Source organism: Homo sapiens, chromosome 20 (genome assembly GCF_000001405.40).
Source record: "Homo sapiens chromosome 20, GRCh38.p14 Primary Assembly".
Lineage (NCBI taxonomy): Eukaryota > Metazoa > Chordata > Mammalia > Primates > Hominidae > Homo > Homo sapiens.
In genome coordinates, this window is record NC_000020.11 from 61535970 (window position 1) to 61554757 (window position 18788).

General features: G+C 50.9%; 1 protein-coding gene across 4 annotated transcripts in view, besides 1 other annotated feature; it reads left to right on the top strand.

Moving 5' to 3' along the window:
- The window catches only part of CDH4 (cadherin 4), a 688357-nt gene that overhangs the window by 283709 nt on the left and 385860 nt on the right, over window positions 1-18788 (top strand). The window lies entirely within an intron of this gene.
- Window positions 2419-3398: an enhancer, noted in NCBI's record as "H3K4me1 hESC enhancer chr20:60113444-60114423 (GRCh37/hg19 assembly coordinates)". NCBI's record gives its function as "activates a minimal SCP1, AML or CMV promoter by ChIP-STARR-seq in naive H9 embryonic stem cells {active_cell/tissue: H9 hESC(naive)}" and the evidence as "EXISTENCE:reporter gene assay evidence [ECO:0000049][PMID:30033119]".

Genomic DNA, 18788 nt, shown 5'->3' on the forward strand with positions numbered 1-18788 from the left:
TACCTCCCTCAGTATTTCAACCCAGCAGACCCCACACTGCCTGCTTCCACTCTGCACTTCTTATGGCATTAGGAGTGCCCCCGGAGCCCCACCAGAGCCTGGAAGACCATGGGAATGGCCCAGTGAGTGGCCCAGGCTACCTGCAGGCACAGAACCCGGCCAGGCCAGCCAGGCCCAAACCAGCCGCAGGGAAGGGCTCTGCTCGGAGAAGCCTCACTGCCTCCCTCGTGTGTTCCACGGGTGCAACAAACACATCTCAGATCCAAAGCCGTGGCTCCCCTCCTGCCCCCCGAACCCAGAAGTCCCTAAGCACTTGGGAGGCTCTGCCAACAGGGCTGAGGGCACAGACATGGCTTAACTGGGAAGATGGATCCACTGGGTGGTGGTGGAAAGGAAGAGGCCGCACCCAAACAGAACAACCCATGGAAAGTTCCATCATGAGACAAATGATAATGTTCATGATTACTAAGGAGGGAAAGAGGAAGGGGAGGGAGTGGGGCAGGGAGGGAGGGGGAGGGAGAAAAGGCTCGTGGGCATTGATAACCCACGAAACTCAAGCCAGGCCCCTCACCCCTTCCGATGCTCCCCAGGCACCCCCATTGCGAGGCCACACTAATACGGTAGAGGAAAAACAGGACTCTATGATGCATTGTCTCACGAAATAAAAGAATAACTTTAATTAGCGTGTCTGACCGCAGCATTATTTTATGTGCATACATACGTCTAGGCCTACATACATACATATACACATACATGTCTAGAGACAGCTTCGGTTGCCCCGTCTGGGAGCAGTGCCCTGGCATCTGGTGGGTATAGTTTGGGGATGCCGCTACACACCCCACAGTGACGAGAGGAAGGAAGGAGGGCACAGCAGAGAGCTGGCCAGGCCCAGTGTGTTCAGCGCAGGGGCTGGCCCTCCCCTCCAGAGAAGAGGCCGGTGGGTCCCAGGAAGGCCCTAGCTGCAGGTACACCCTATGCTCCAGTGCCTGGGAGTGTCTGGCTCAAGACGGATGGGTGTGAATGAACGAATGACCAAGTGGACAAATGATGCTCTGAGCACCCCCAGAAACCACTTGGAGACTCAGTGTCCCCTCCCTGCAGGGCTGGTAGACAGGCGTTCACTGGGGATGCCAGGCGTCATGCCATTTCACCTGTTTAAAGGCTGAGGTCTACATCATTGCTTTTGACTGTTCACTTTCTTTCCCCCTGAGCTATCTGCTGCTGCCTTTGTCACATGGTACAATGTGTCAGTGGAATTGTTAAAATAATTTTTCTTAGGGCCCCTTAGAGGTCTAATATTTGAAATCCGACATTTTACTTATCCTTCATTGCTTGCAATTTTTCTCTCCTCAGTAGCCATTGTGTAGAGAAGCATCACACAGCACTAACCAGGTATCCCTGCCCTGAGAAGAGAGGGAGAGGCTGACTGACTGAGCACGTGGCCGGTGATGTGTCCCAGGTCATCAGGGAGGCCCAGGCCAGCTCGGGAGGGCAGGGAGCTGGGGACCGCAACCTCACAGCCAGGTGCCCTCATCAAGAGCTCTCTGCCTACCACTTTCTCCACGGTAAACATAAAAAGAAGACACAAACCTGGAAGGAAATCGCCCTACCCCGGTCTAGAACTCAAGGAGCCAGGAGTGATTTAGAAGCAGAAGCGGGCTTCGCGGACAGGCACGCACTGCCCTCCCCACTCACGAGGCGTTGTGAGGGGTGTTTTTTAAGCCATTCTCCTCCCTTTCTGTGCAGACTCAAAAGGCAGATGCCTTGTTGGGAGTTAACAAGCCGGGTCTTTCAAAGGAGAGCTTGAAAAGCCTCATTGAGTTGGAAGCCAAGGGGCTCTGGAGTTAGACTAGGAGAGAATGGTCCCCTTGAGTGACAGAAACATCACAGCGCCATGAAAGGGGCCGAGCGAGTCGGCTGCGTGGCCTGCTGTCTCCAGTTCCTCTCCGCAGTGTCTGCATCCCTGGGAACTACCACCGGGTCATGGTGGGGTCAGGCCAACCCGGCCACATTGCTATGAAGACCAAGTTCTCCCACTTGTTTGAGCAATAGTGAGCCCCTCCAAACCCCTAGGCTGCTTAATTATGTACAAAGCCAGGCCCCCGGCCTGTGAGGAGGTGCATTCACACAGGAGCTGTCCGAGAGGCCAAGTTCAAGTCCACCCAAAGCTGTATTTTCCAGGAAAGCCCACACACCCATTTGTCTGAGATATGTGGTGGGCACCCGTTTTCCATGGGCTTTCCTTTGAACCTCTTCTGGTTTGAGCAGCGTTTTCTAGGGCTGATCCAGCAGTGTCCTTTATCCCTCCAGCTGTGCCCGTCACTCTGGGAGAAGGACACCTGCCATCTCCCCTCCCCAGGGGCTGGTGCACCAGAGATTGGTAGGAGAGGAATCGCATCAAGTCAAGAGGTTTACTCACAGACAGATTTGTTCTGCTCTGATACACAAAGGACAGAACTAATATCCATGCCCCAACCCAGAGCCGGAAACCCAGGCCCCCACTCCTGACCTCATCCTTCCCTCCTCTCTCCTCCTACTCTGTGTACTTTCGCCTGGCCTTCCTGGAGCCAACACTTTAACATCCGCCTGTCCCTGCTGGTGCCTCCTGGGTGGATGCAGTGAGGACTCCTTCCCAGGATCTGGTACCTCCTGCCCCTCGTGCGTTCATGGGAGGCCATGTGGCTGGGCACAGCTCCCAGTCCTCCCTGTCCCCAGGAGGGTGGATGGGACACTTGCTCCCACTATTCCCACTGGGTGCGACTGTCCCCAGGCCTGGGTCACATCGTGATTTGGGGGCCACCCCCATCCAGATATGCCACTTCTCGTCTAATCAGCACATACTTGCTGGCTCCCTGCTGCAGGCCAGGCATGGGGCTGGGCGGAAATGCTAATGGGGTCAGGCTCTTAGGAGGCTCTGATGTTTGTGCAGGGGGTGGGGAGGTTGCCCCAGGGCACCGTGGCTTCCTGCCTGATGCCAGGTACAGGAGGTGGCTTGGGCCTGGGTTGTGGCCATCAAGAAACCTGCTTCGGTCTCTGCCGCTGGAGGCAGGGGAGGAGGACTAAAGGAGGATCCCAGGGTTTGGGATCCACAGCAGATCCGCAGCGGGTCAGGTGGAGGGGGAAGGGAACTTGAGATACTCCACACGCTCTGCTGCTGCCCACCGTGGCCGGTGCACCCACGGCCCTGGAGGAGTCCCCAGGAGTGCACAGCTGCCTCTGGCCTCCTGTTCTCAGCATCTTCTCCTCACCTTGCTTTGAAGCCTCTGGGTCTCACCCAGCCCCAGCTTACTTCTTGCATGGGCCGTGTCCACAGTGTAGGTGTATTAGTCAGTTGGGACCAACCAAGCACCACTCCTTGGGGGCTTAAACAACAGAGATTTATTTTCTTACAATTCAGGAGCTCGAAACCCAAGACTAAGGTGTGGGAAGAGCTGGCTTCTTCTGAGACCTCTCTCCTTGGCTTGTAGATGCCATCTTCTCCCTGTGTCCTCACGGAGTCGTCCCTGTGTGTGTGTCTGTGTCCTCACCTCCTCCTCTTATAAGGACGCCAGCCAGGTTGGATTAGGCCCCACCCTAATGGCCTGATTTTGCCTTAACCCCGTTTTAAAGGCCCAGCTCCAAATACAGCCATGTTCTGACGGGATTAGGACTCAGCCTAGGAATCCGAGTTGAAGTTGAGCTCAAGCTGTTCAGCAAGGCAGCCACAGAGCACAGTCTGCCCTGGGCAGTGGTCCGCCAAGCATTGGCTTGGGGCTCCTGGTGGTGTCCCCCCCAAGCCCTGCTGTCACAGGACGAGAGGGAGCAGAGCAGGGACACGCCAGCTCTTGACCTCCATGGCTTCTGCGCATATTCCCTTGGCCGGAGCTGAGCACATGACTATGCCTCTCCAGAGGGTCTTGCCGAGTGGATCTCTGTGCACACAGGATTTGAAAGAGAGTGTTTGGAGAACTGTGTGGACTCTGTGTGCTCACCACATTCCCTGTCCAATTCCCTCCCAGCTTCCCACCGTTCTCCTCCCCGATGCCCGCAGCGTTCAGAGCAGCCTCACCTGGGAGGCAATTCGATCCGATTGGTTGGTGGTCAGGTGTAGACCTGAGGGTGGAGGGGGAGCAATATGAAGAGGGCTGAATAGGGTGCATGCACCGTAGCTCTCCCAGGTCCTCCTGGAGCAGGGCCTGGCACCACATGGACACTCGACAAACCTGATGGGCGGACGAATGCACGGCAGCGTCGTCTTGATCCAATTTTAGAAACTGCCGTTAGGAAGACCTCATATCACAATGGAAGAATTTCCTTTATTGAAAGAAAAAAAAATTACCTATGAAATCCAGCCAAAAATGTATCCTTTGACATGGTTCTTGTGCTCTAGAAGTTGGAACAGTCTTGAAAACTGTTCATGACGGCACCGGAAGCCATGTTTGAAAGGGATGACCTCACATGATAGGAGGGAAGTGCCCAGATGTTGATATCTGATTCCTGGAAAATTAGCTCACCTGTCATCACTGAGACAAGGTGGTGCCTTCTGTCACATAACTTCAGGGGCTGGTCTTGGGGTTTAGGAGCAACTCATAAAATCCTACCTGGTGGGTTCCACGTGCCATACGAAATGCCGGCAGGAAGAACCTGGTGGCTGGTGATCTCCTGTCCCAGGGAAGATCTTATAAAGCCACATGAAGGAGTGGTGACGATTCAAAATAATGTCACTTTCAACAGATTTTTCTGTTTCTAAGATCTGACTTTAGGATGAAGTTTTCTAGAATCCAAGCAGTAAGACTGGATGCCAGTTTCTTCCATGCAGCTTCAAGGCCAGAGGCAATGTCAGGAATTTTTCCTCTTTCTGCAGCCTGACAGACCCTGTGGGGGAATTTGGTGCTTCCCAGTGATTAGGCGACCCTGAGACCCTCCAATAAGGCAGGAAGCAAACAAAAGGGCCATTTGGTTACAAACTCCCCCTGCGACCCCATAAGCTGTTCAAGCCCGTGCCATCCTTGAATTTCTTTCTGAAATGTTCCATCATAAATTGTCAGAGATGGAAGAGTGGGTGAGAGGAAAAATTTGACGATTCCCCATTGCTAACTAAAATAGCTTATTAGCTGCCATTTTACCCGTGTGCTCGGAGACTTCCAGAAGGGAGCTGTTCATGTCTCTTCTGCCCCTCTCCAGAAAATAATTAACCACCCCAGTCGTCATTGATTCCAGAACTATCTGCCCAGGTTATTAATAAAAATGTTGAATCCCGGCTCATGTGCTGCCCTCCCACTGGCATCAATCCACTGTGCACGTGCATTAACGTGCGGAGAACGCCAGGAGGAAATGAGAGGAGGAGAGGCCACATCTCCAAGCAAGGACGAAGCTCCTCCTGGGATTCACCACGACGGTTTTAGCCTGGTGGTCGGCACCCTCTGCTGATGTTTTATTTGTGTGTTTTCCATGTAGGGTGTGTTTCTGTTTTTATTAATAGCAAGCACACTGGCTAATTTTCTATCTTAAAAATATTGAATAGAGCTCTGAAAAGGACACATGCTGTAGCCAGCACTGGGGTGTCCACCATCTAGAATTAGCCGATGTCACTACTTTACCACGTGAGCTGCAGGTTTGTAAAAGGAATAAGACCGGTGTAGAAAAGGTCATGTTCCCGTGATCTCCTGCCTTCTCCAGAAGCATCCCGGTGGAAGGCAGCATCTCTTCGCCATGTGTTTGTGGCTTTGCTCTTTTGTGCATAGACAGAAATTATGCTAGAATTTTATGGCTTTTTCTTCTCACTTAATGCGTCTGTGAGCCTCTCCCCGTGGGTCCATGTTACTCTAGCTCATTTCAGCAACTCTCCAGCCAGTGAGTGTGCCAGGATCCCTCTCTCTCCTGAGGACTTGGGGTTGTGTGTGACCCTTGCTACTTTCTGGCCATATTCCCACCTCCTCCCTCCCTCAGGGCACCTGGCAGGATTGCTCTGTTTGCTGCTTGAAGCTGGATATGGCTGTGTGGCCTGGTTTGAGCAATGAAAGGTGAGTGGAAGTGGTGCCTGCCACCACATGCCGAACCATTTAACTGACCTTGAGCCTGCTCTGGGCCCTCTTTCTCATGTGAAAATCCAAAAATCAAAGCAGCCGGGAATGCTGAGCCCATACCCAGAGGGCAGCTGGTCCAGAGACCACATTCCACCTGCTCTAAAAATCAACTCATACTGGGTTAAGCTACTGAGATTTGGGGGCAGGTTGTTAATTCAGCAAAACCCACCCCATCCTGACTGATAGAGGCTGCTTCCGATTTTCTGTTGTTATAAACAGTGTGCAGTGCTGACCTTCACATGTGGCCAGGTTTCTAAAGTGGATTCCTGGACTTGCTGAGTCAAAGGGCACCTGCTTTTTCAACTTTCCTGGGGTTGCAATGTGTTCTCAGTCCCTCCCGCAGCCTCTGAGAGAGGGTTTCTCACATTATCTCTGGCATGTTCGTTTAGATCCTGCACACTTTCTGATCTGAGGAGTGAGGTTATTTCATCGCTTTAATCTGCAATGGGTACAACTCTTCACAGATGCAGTCTCAGTTATGAGGCTTTGAAATCCTAGGGTTTTCCATGATAATGAGAGCAACAAACTTTTTAATGAACAAATATCGTATTTTCCACTATATTGGGGAATTTTTTTAAGTTAGCATAAGAAAACAAAAGCCCCTAACAGCCAAGTAAACTTTTGGAAACACAAGGGAATATTTATAATCAGAACTCCTAGAAAGGGTCTCCTTTTCCTCTTAATAAATAGCTCTGGCCTTATTAGAAATCGGTATTAGGGTTCTCCAAAGGGACAGAACTAATAGGAGAGATGAATCTATGAAGGGGAGTTTATTAGGAGAATTGACCCTCAGGATCACAAGGTGAAGTCCCTCAATAGGCTGTGTGCACGCTAAGGAGCCTGGAAGCCAGTCCAAGTCCCCAGATCTCAAAAGTAGGGAAGCCGACAGTGCAGCCTTCAGTCTGTGGCCAAAGGCCTGAGCACCCCTGGCAAACCACTGGTGTAAGGCCAGGAGTCTAAAAGCGGAAGGACTTGGAGTCTGATGTTCCAGGGCAGGAAGCATCCGCTCGGGAGAAAGATGGAGACCAGAAGACTCAGCCAGTCCAGTCCTTCCACGTTCCTCTGCCTGCTTTATTCTAGCCACGCTGGCAGCTGATTAGATGGTGCCCAGCCACATTGACGCTGGGTCTGCCTCTTCCAGTCCACTGACTCAAATGTTAACCTTCTTTGGCAACGCCCTCACAGACACACCCAGGAGCAGTACTTTGCATCCTTCAATCTCATCAAGTTGACACTCCATATTAGCTGTCACAGGCCCTCTGCAATGTCTATACTTGTTATCTCTAGATGGGAGTTGGAACGGAGCAATGGAAATGCTGAAGTGTTTGACGTGACTCTGTAAACTATGGTTGAAGTTCCCGTGACTTAGAAAAGTGACAGTTTCTTTTGTTAGTAAAAGTTTGGTTGGCAGTACTTGGTTGAGTGATAAAAATGTCGCTAAATTCACTAATGTCACTTAACTCTGCTAATCTCACAACCTTAATAGGATTCATTTGTTACTTATGACATTGCCAAACCAAGCATTATCTTTCTATAGTCAGTTATACAATTAAAAAATAATAATAGCAACAAAGCTGATGGCGCCTTTATGATCTGTCCCTGCTGAGACAAGGGCTGAGGTTTCAGTCAGGGGGCTGGTGTGACCAGGTGACCCCCAGGAGGCTGCATAAAGACTCGTGAATGGCAGCTGTAAAGTGCTCTTCTCTTAAAGTAATCTCACAAGTGTAAATTGGCCTCCTGCAACGTTCATTTCTCTGAGATGGCGCCTTCCTTGCTTTCAGGCCACTGAGGCAAAGGTGGACCAAGGCTGTTGACCTGATGGAATGGAGCTGGCAGGTGGCCCTCCTCCCAGGACCCTGGACTCCCCTAGGATTCTAGAAACAGCTCAGATTCTGACTGGGGATTTTTCTGTCATCTGCAAAGATAGGCTCTCCACAGAGCTAAGAGGGTGTGGTGGTACAGCTTTCTCTCGTCACAGCTGAGGTCCCTGGAGGCTGCCCCACACCCCCGGCCCCACACCTGGCTCTTGGCACTAAGGTCCTTGGAGGCTGCCCCACGCCCCCTGGCCCCACACCTGCCTCTTGGCACTACACTGTGTGGTCCGGTCCCACGGCCATGTGGTCTCTTTAGATCTGCGGTTCTCTTTCAGAGATGATGCTGCCCCGTCTCCCCAGGGGACCTCGGCAATGCCAGAGACCACAGTTGTGTATGTATATGGCGGGGTACGGCTGACATCGAGCGGGTGGAGGCTGGGTACGGCTAAACACCCCACAGCCCAGGACAGCCTCGCAGCAGAAGCATCCAGCTCCATGTATCACTCGTGTCCAGGCCGAGAAACCCGACGTAGAAATCCAGCTTGCCCAGGAGAGAGGGGTGGGACTCCTGGTGTTCACTTCGTAGCTGTTCTGTGGTGGGAGCGCAGTGGGAGCCGCAGGGCATCGGGGTCTTCGAAGGAAAGCCCGTGGATTATGCATCCAGGAATTAAAGCAGTCCATGCAATGGCAGCCGCCAAGCAGAGACGGTGACGGGATCCCTGCGTTGACGGTGGCATGACCGTGTGTGATGGGATGTGCCGGGGGCAGACAGGGCCCACCAGACCCCACGCTGCTCTACTCCGCACCGGCCCCCCTGCCTGTACTTGACCACACTCCTGCCTTCTGCCACAGTTGCAGTTTGGGATAATTTTGGTGGAGAAAGTTGTAAAACCACCTGAATGAATTGGCTTGGTCCATGGACTGGAAGCCTGACTCCCCCGACAGCCCTCCCTGCCCCCGAGGAAGGAACCTTGTTCCTCGGTTATAAAACTTGAGCTTTTAATTGAGGGGAGGGGGGATGCACTAGGGGGTCTTGGAACTTGGTACATACAGGTGCTAGGTACAATCAAATGTATGTGATAAGTAATTAGATATCCAGGTAGACAAGTAGGGTGACTAGCAAATGACCCTTGAGCAGCCCTACTGGGGCCCCGAGTGGACAAACCACAGGCCCCTGTCCTTGGGCCCTCTCAGATGGCAGGAGCGCCCTCGCTTCTGTGGGTCTGACGCGGAGACAGTGTCTCCAGGGTGCTTTCTGAGACCAAAGTCGTTCAGCAAACAGAAGATCCCAGAAGGCAGCAAGCTCTGCCACGCAGCATCGGGACAACGTGGCTGTTTACTGCTCCCATGTGGGAGCAACCACAGCTTTTTAAAAAGACCGAGCAGTTTTCTGTGTTAAAAATTACCTTTAAAATGCTAAAGCTGTGGCCATGTCCAACATGCGTACATTTGGGAAGTGGCGGTAAATTCCATGCAACGTCAATTAACATTTCACAATTCTGCCGGCCGTGGGCTGGAACTTTGGCCAGCCTGTCGGAGTGAAGGATGCTTTTCCTTCAGGTCATGGCGATCAGTCTGTCACGGGAAGGACGCTGACCCCGGCGCTCCCCAGGCTGCACGGTGTCCCTCATTGCTGGCGTCTGGCGTTCAGTCACTGTCTGGGCACCCACATCTTCCCCACTCTGTCCCGTCCTCTTTCTTGGAAAAGCTACTGCTGACGTGGACTTTTTTTTCATGATCACCCTACAAATTCATTTCTCTTTTTGTCTTTCACTGTCCAGCACTGGAGCTGCTGGCAGAGCCGTCAAGAGAACCGGAGGCTTTGGCAACTGGTGCCGCTCATGCTTGGCGCCAGCGGGCAGGAGGCAGCTTTGTCCTGCACACCGAGACAGTGTGCTTGTGTATGTGAGTGTGTGGGGGTGGGGTGTGTGTGCATGTGTTTGGGGGGTATGTGGGATACGGTGCGTGTTCACATGTGTGTATGTGTGTGTGTGGAGGGGTATGTGTGCATGTGTGTAGAGGGTATGTGGGATACGGTATGTGTTCGTATGTGTGTGTGTGGAGGGGTGTGTGTGCATGTGTGGAGGGGGTATGTGGGATACGGTGTGTGTTCGTGTGTGTGTGTGTGTGTGTGGAGGGGTGTCTGTGCATGTGTGGAGGGGGTATGTGGGATACGGTGTGTGTTCGTGTGTGTGTGGAGGGCTGTCTGTGCATGTGTGGAGGGGGTTTGTTCACACGTGTGTGTGTGGAGGGGTGTGTGTGCATGTGTGTGGGGGTATGTGGGATACGGTATTTGTTCACATTCGTGAGGGTGTGTGCCTGTGTGTGGGGGTATGTGGGATACGGTATTCACATTCGTGCGTGTGTGTGGAGGGTGTGTGCATGTGTGTGGGGGTATGTGGGATACAGTATGTGTTCACATGTGTGTGGTGTGTGCGCTCGAGTGTGCATGAGTATGCATGTGTGCAGAGGTGTGTGTGTGAGGTGTGTATATGCGTGTGTGTGGTATGCATGTGGGTGTAGGGGTGAGGTATGTGTGCACACATGCATGTGCGTGTGTGTGTGTGCGTTAGATGCCCACACTTTGTGTTAGTGACATTCTAGGGACTCAGTGCTTCTAGGATCCAGTGACTCGCAACATTTTGTAAAGGCCTCGCCTCAAGCACTTCCTTAACTCAACTCCTCTGAAGTCCTTAATGTTTCTCAGGCAGTTTTGTGCCCAGAAATCAGGGCAGGGAGGGGGGTGTGTGTTTCCCTCTCTGCTACAATAGACAAGCAGATATGAAATGAGAGAACAGGGCTTGTGTGTGGTTTACATGCTGCCTGGAGATCCAGCTCTGAATGTGATGAAGCTGGCCTAGGTCTGAAAGGTTGAAACACAGAAGAGAAATTCACCAGGAGGACCCAGGGCAACTTTCCTTTCAGGATAGGAATCTGATTGGGAGTGTAGGCAGGAACGGGTTGGCTGGCTGGGCGCCGACGCGGTGCCACGGGATAATCCTTTAGTGAGCCACTGATTGGCTGGGGGGCTGCACGGGAGACAGGCAGGTAGTTTTGGAGGCAGGCATCTCTTCTTCCGTCTCCGTGCCCACGCTCCAGGACAGGTGGTGGCTCAGAAAGCAGACAGCAGTGATGGGCGGTGCCTCTTAGGATGCTGCTGGGTAAAGGTGACTTAGGAAACTGACAGATCGCTGCCTCCCTCCCTTCTATATCCTTTCCACGTTGATGGTGTCCTCACTTACCATAGTGGGCCATGTACTCCATCACTGAGTCCATCAAACTCCCCAAGACCCCCAAGTGCAAGTAGCTTTTACTGGATTCAGTCTCTCACATACTCAGCCCCAGAGCTCTTTTTTTTTTTTTTTTTTTTTTTTTGCCCCCTGAGACGGAGTCTCACTCTGTCTCCCAGGCTGGAGTGCAGTGGCTGGATCTCGGCTCACTGCAAGCTCCACCTCCCGGGTTCACACCATTCTCCTGCCTCAGCCTCCCGAGTAGCTGGGACTACAGGCACCTGCCACTGCGCCCGGCTAATTTTTTTTGTATTTTTAGTAGAGACGGGGTTTCACTACATTAGCCAGGATGGTCTCGATCTCCTGACCTTGTGATCCACCCACCTCAGCCTCCCAAAGTGCTGGGATTACAGGCATGAGCCACCGTGCCCAGCCCAGAGTACTTTCTGCTCTGGCCTGTGATTCTCCGTAGTGAGTCTCCTGCCACTGTTGACCCTGGGGTGGGGGTGGGGGTGGGGGGATACTGCCAAATACAAGCCTGGCCTCAATGCTTTCACACTCCTTGGCCAATGATGACACAAGGAACCTTTGAAGTCAGAATGTTCCCGAGCTCCTGCCCCTGCAGACAGCGCAGGAGCAGCCTTTTCCCACCTGAGGCTGCCTTTCTGGGAATGGCCCTGTTGCCACTTAGGTGTTCACTTGAGCATCTGAAATCGTTTCCCATGCATGGACATGTGTGCATGCCTGCACATACACGCACATATGTGTAAAGCGGCACCGCGTGGGGCTGGCAGAGCGACTGTATCCGTGTTCGCACATCTATGTCAAACAGTCTGCTGGCATAGAGTAAGCTTTAGATAACAGCGTGAAATAAATAAAAACAAAGTAACACATGCCCTTGGCCTTGAGGGGAGGGGGAGGCCTTTGCTTCCTGTGATTCCTCCTGGCTCTTTGCGGCAGCATCAAACCCTCAGGGCAGGGCTCCTAGTCTGTGTCTGAGCCCAGCCCTACCCCAGTGTCCCATGCTGGAGAGTGGGGCTGGAGGTCCAGTCAGGCCCAGTCCCCAGGGCCCCTTTAAAGTTAGAAAACAATATAAGAGGTTTCTGTGCATGGGTACGTAAGGGGAGAAATACCCAAAAACCTGTACAGTTCCGAGCAGACGGGTGGTTTCACTCTAAGACTCCAAGCAATTCAGAACTGGGCCAGAGGGGAGCTGAGAGGGCTCCAGGCTGAGGCTCGGGCAGGCAGGTGGAAGGAGGGAAAAGGGCCCAACTTGTCCACCTTCTGACTTGGAAGTAAGGAGCCAGGGTCACCCTGAGAAGAGAAGGTAAACAGAGTACAAAGAGGAGAAGGAGAGCAGCAGTGTGTTTGTTTCAGATGTTGAGATCAGTTCCCCGCCCCCCCATTACAGCCCTCGAATATTTTAAAATTTAATATGGAACTATCAAGCAGAATTCTTGGGGCAAGATTTTATTCAGATTTGTTGCATTTTAGTGGCTTAAAATGTCATTAAAAAATTAAAGCATGTTTATACAAACTTAAATTATCAGGGTGTAGCAACTAAATTGCCTCTAAAAGCACCCATTTTTAAGTAATTCAAAGAGAAGAGTGAGAAATTAGGAGTGTCTGATGGTGCAGCACAACCTTGGAAGGTTTTAAAGAACAGTTAACAGGTACACCGTGACCATTATTCTTCTAAAAAGAAATGTCACAAATGAGGAGTTGGAGACAGGAAGGATAGGAATATTAGAAGAATTGGCAGGTGATTGGAACATTATCATCAAAAACTAGTGAGAAAAGATGGCTCGTTCAGGGAATTGAATTAGGAAGATTACAGAGCTGATGCCTTCAGAGAGTGCAAGTCATGTATCTTGTTATATAAAACTACAAATGCCTTCGGGTCTCGGGGGGAGAGGCGGGTGGAAGCCGCCTTTGGGACGGAGGGAATGGGGCTCCACGGGGGCAGGCAGATGTTATCTAAGCAGTGTCATTCTGTGTCTTGCCACATCTCCACTTTGCAAACGTGTCTCATCTCAGAAGATGAACAGCAATGTCATTCCCTGCTTCTTGATGTTACAGTGAGAAGTCCTTTTCCTGCAGTCTTGAGAAACAGTCCTTCTGACCCCAAGGTTGAACCAATAGCAATTGGCGTGAAATACGCAGTGACAGTCGCTGGTTAAAGTGGTTGGAGTTTTATGGGCATAAACATGGGTAAGGAACGGGGTACCTCACTCCCTCCCATGTCACCCCTCTCATCATCCCAAACACCTGATGAGGAACAGCCTGGAGCCTACAAAGGCTCTTCAGACCCACACCATCCTGCTGGTGTCTGTTCAAGATCCACATACAAAGCAACAGTGCTAAACTGGGAGCGTCTTTTTAAAAATTACTAGAAGGCTTCAAAGGGAGGTTTAGGGGGCAGGATGCTAAGGGAGAGCTCTGGCCATGGTTTGCTTGCTTTGTGTACAAAGTTTTCAGTCCAGATGCTCCTCGTGTGTTCCGTGGATGTGTGTCCATGAGGGCTCGCAGCCTCTTTATCCCTCATCCATTTCGGGAAAGGACGTCAAGCACGTGCTGGGAGACTAAACAGCGAAGCCTCCGGGATGTTATGTGCACCGCTGGGGGCCAGGCAGTGTCAGAGATGCCGAGATTGCAGCATTAGACAGAGGTGCTGCCTTCATGGTTCTCAGAGTCCAGATACATGAGCGCTTAGCGCATGGGAAACATTCCCCAAATCACAAAGAGGATGCCAGGACTGAGGAATAGCCCAGGGCTGGGGCAACAGGTTTGCTTTGCAGAATGGGCGCTTCCTGTGCTTGTGGTCAGCTGCCACCCCCCTCAGTGAAGGTGCCAGCTGGTCCTGGAGTCCTGGCCACTCCTTGGAGAAGACCTTCCTCCCCACTGGCACCCATCCTCCCCGGGACTCACTGCAGCCCTGGCCTCCTTGTCCTGGCCTCCCTGGCCTCCCTGCCCCAACCTCCCTGGCCTCCCTAGCCTGCTTCCCTGGCCTCCCTGCCCCAGCTTCTCTGGCTTCCTTAGGTTGCCTCACTGGCCTCCCTAGCCTACCTCCATGGCCTCCCTGCCCCAACCTCACTGGCCTCCCTAGCCTGCTTCCCTGGCCTCCCTAGCCTGTTTCCCTGGCCTCCCTGCCCCAACTTCTCTGGCTTTCCTAGCTTGCCTCCCTGGCCTCCCTAGCCTACCTCCCTGGCCTCCCTGCCCCAACCTCACTGGCCTCCCTAGCCTGCTTCCCTGGCCTCCCTAGCCTGCTTCCCTGGCCTCCCTGCCCCAACTTCTCTGGCTTTCCTAGCTTGCCTCCCTGGCTGCTCTCAGCCACTGCCTCCTTTGCTTCCCCTCTCAGGCCATTGGGAAGCCTTCCTGACTCTCCGCTTGGCACCACAGGAAATCTCTTCCCTCTGCCAGCTTCCAGGGCTCCCTGTAACTGGTCCCACCCCATCTACCCACCCCTCCAGTATATCTGCGGGACCCTGCCCTTGTGTTCATCCTTCTCACGGGGATGACCTCTGTCCTCCTCCCTGATAGTTCATATCCTGCAGGACCCCTAGACCTTCCTCCCACACCCACCCAAGGCCCTTCTTGGATGCCACAACCTGCACCGGAGCCCTCCTCTTCTTTGGGCTCCTTGCAGTGCAGAGAGCCACATGGTGGTGTCTGTGCTCTTGTGTTGCCTTCTGGATTAGGACCTGGCCTCCTGGTGGAAGATGGAACAGCAATGCTCCCAGAGCCTGCAGTACCCAGGGGCAGGCAGGGCTGAGCAGGAGCGGAATCACTGGACAGGAGGCAGACACTTGGCCAGATGCGCACAGGCCAGTGCGCAGACAGAATCTCCTCTTGCAGCTGATGGGGAGAGTGGGAAGAGTGAATTCTGCAGTTGGTCAGTCAGACAGTTGGTTGAAATCCCAGCTCTGCCACCCACTAGTCTTGTGATTTAGGACAAACCATTTAATCTTTAAATTCAGTTTCCTCAAATACAAAATGCAGGTAACGGGCATTCCCTTCTCCTCGGGATCGATAAAGGTGTAATGAAAGAATGTCTATGAAGCACTTAGATTTGCACATGGCATGTCATGGGCACTCAATAATCAGTAGCTAATAAATATGTAGTTATTATTTTGTGCGTTTCAGTCCACAGCATATATAACAGCTGGATGATGTGCCGGATGTGTAAGCGATGCCTTGTCCTCACTGTCTTGTCTCCGCCTTGGTCACATCAACTTGGTCTTGTTCTTTTATCTGGTAAATTTTACTGGAGTATAAAGTCATACAGAAAATTTCACAAATCACTGGTGTACTGCTCACTGGATTTTCATAAAATGAGTTCAATGTGTAATCAGCACGCAGATAAAGGAACAGAACCTCCCCAGCATCCAAAGCCCCTCATCTCTCTCATTCAATTGCCCTCTTCCCATCCCAGGGGCAGCCACTCTCCTGGCCTCTCACAGCTCAGAGAACCTTTGCCATTGGGGAACTTCCTATGCAGGGAACCACGTGACTTCCCCCACCTAACCTTATGCTTGTGAGATTCATCCAGCTGGTGGGAGTGTGGTCCATTCATTCCCATCTGCACAATAGTGTCCTGTTGCAGATGAAAACACACTACTGTGAAGAATCTTCTAGACTCTGATTCCAAAATTTACTAGAAAGCTAGTGTGATCAAGACAGCATGGTACTCACATAAGGATAGACATATAGACCAATAGAAGTGAATTAAGAGTCTAGAAGTGAACCCATACTTCTATGGCCAGTTGATTTTTTGACAAAGGTGCCAAAACCATTCAATGGGGAAAAGACAGCCTTTTCAACAAATTGTGCTGGGACAGCTGGACAGCTACATGCAAAGAACGAAATTGGACCCCTACCTCACACCATATACAAAAGTTAACTCAAAATGGATCAAACACCAAAATGTAAGATCTAAAACTATAAAACTCTAAGAAGAAAACATAGGTGTAAGTCTTTGTGACCCTGGATTAGGCAGTGATTTCTTAGATATGACTCCTAAAGTGCAGGCAAGCAAAAAATAAATAAACAGTGGACTTCCTCACAATTAAAAATGTCTGTGTTTTAAAGGATACCATCAAAAAAGTGAAAAGGCCATAGCATGACAGAAAATATTTGTTAATTGTATATATAAGAGTCTAGTATCAAGAATATATAAAGAACTCTTACAACTTAATAAAAAACACAAATAACTCAATTTCAAATGAGCAAAAGTTTTGAATATTTTTTCCAAAGAAGACATACGAATGTCCAATAAACACATAAAATCTGTGTAACGTCATTAGTAAGTAGGAAAATGCAAATCAAAACAACAGTGAGAGGCCAAGCACAGTGGCTCAACACCTGTAATCCCAGCACTCTGGGAGTCCGAGGTGGGCGGATCACCTGAGGTCAGGAGTTCGAGACCAGCCTGGCCAACATAGTGAAACCCCATCTCTACTAAAAACACAAAAATTATCTGGGCGTGGTAGGACATACCTGTAATCCCAACTACTCAGGAGGCTGAGGCAGGAGAATCACATGAACATGGGAGGTGGAGGTTGCAGTGAGCCAAGATCATGCCACGGTACTCCAGCCTGTGTGACAGAGTGAGACTCCATCTCAAAAACAAAAAATGAAAGAAAAAAACAAAAACAAAAGAGTGAGATTACACACCCACTAGGATGGCTGTAATTAAAAAGACAATAACAAGTGTTGGCAAGGATGTGGAGACATTGGAACCCTCATGCATTACTGGTGGGAATGTAAAATGGTGCAGCCACTGTAAAGAAAAAAAAAAAACTTGTCACCTCCTCAAAAAGTTAAAAATAGAGTTAGCATTAGCATATGACCCAGAAATGTGACTCCTAGGGATCTGCCCAAAATAGTGTGTCCACACAATAATTTGTACATGGATGTTTATAGCAGTACCATTCATAGTAGTCAAACAGTGGAAACAACTCAAATGTCCATCACCTGAAAAGTAGATAACCAAAGGTGGCATCCAGACAGTGGAATATTCAGCCATATAAAGGAATGAAGTCCGTATGCAAGCTACAACATAGATAAGCATTGGAAACATTATGCCAAGTGAATGAAGACAGACACAAACCCATGTACTGTATGATTCCATTCATTCTAAATCCCCAGAATAGGCAAATCTGCAGAAACAGAAAGTATTTTATTGGTTTCCAGAGAATAAGGAGAAGGGGAAAATGGACAGAGACACTAATGGGTGCAGGGTTTCTTTTGGGGGCAATGAAAATGTACTGGGTTAAAAGTGAAGATGGTCGTGCAACCTTGTGACTCTACTAACATACATTGAATTATCCACCTAAATGCGTGGATTTACAGTATGCGAAGTGTATCTTAATTTCACAAAGATTAAAAACCAGCCTTTGAGGTGTTTCCATTTGGGGCTATTGCAGATAAAGACGTGTGAACATCCTTGTGCATGTCCTTGATGAGCATGTGTATGCATCTGTCTTGCAGGTCCGATTGTTGGGTCATAGGGAATGCCTGCACCCTGCTTTATAGATGTAGTGTGGTAGATTTCCAAATGGCAGCACAGATATCATCCCACCATCATTGCATGAGCATCTCAGTTGCTCCACAGTCTCACCAGCACTTGAGAGTATCTATCTTTTCCATTTTAATTATTCTAGAGGGAACTGTAACTTCTTCCAATTCTATCTCCCTATCCCCTGTCCCATGAGGTTCCCAAAGCTGTGTTGCTGCTGGACCTCGCTTGGTAGATATGTGCATCAAATATGGACAGCCGGGAGGCAAGTTCCCTCCAAAATGAGTCATGACTCCAGAACTGTGAGCTTCAAGGTGAGCCTCAGATGCAACTAATAATTTACAGCATTGTGGTAAGCTGTGCCTGCAGGGGCCAGGTCCCTGTCCTAGGAGCTGGTCAGTGATTTCCATCTGCTCTGAGGAGCACCCACGGTTCAGAGCAGGACTCCCCAGGGCAGGGGCAGGTTCTCCCCCACCCCATTGGCCAGGACAGCCTGGCCTGGCTCTACCTTCTGTTTCAGAAATCTTCTGTAGAGGGTTTCATTTGAAGACAGAGCTATGATATATTTGCACAGCACTAGGTCCATTTCTTTCTGTTGTTCTTAGGTGATTTTGTTAGGGTCAGAGCCCTGATTTCCATTTCCTTCTGGTTCACATTGCCCTTGGACTCCCAGCTCCCGTAGGTGAATCGGACTCTCAGCTGATGAAGCTAAATTGCTTCTGTGATGTGGTTGAGGCAGGGGGCAGTAGAGGAGGCACAGGCTCTGGTGGGCAAAGACCCAGAGCCACAGGGCTGCCCTTGAAACATTATGTCGCCACTGACCAGGACCCAAGAGTCCAAGCCCTATTTTCTCTTAAAGTTAATTGTTCAAAGTCACATGTACATCAGAGTGCAGTGAGTGCTGGGAGAGCCATAAGGAGCCTTTCCCCGTGGGGCTCAGCAGTCTGGAAAGGGCCCCAGCCATGGAACTGGGATTTGTTGCAGAAACCCAGCCAGGCTGACAACAGGTCACCCACAGACTCTCAAAGCGGCTGCCTGGGAGCCGCAACCAGTGCTGAGCCTGCAGTGGGTGGGTCAGCCGGCAGAGCAGGAGAAACACTGTGGATCTGTTGTGTGGGTGTTCCTGTGTGTACACACATGTACATGTACATGCATGAACATA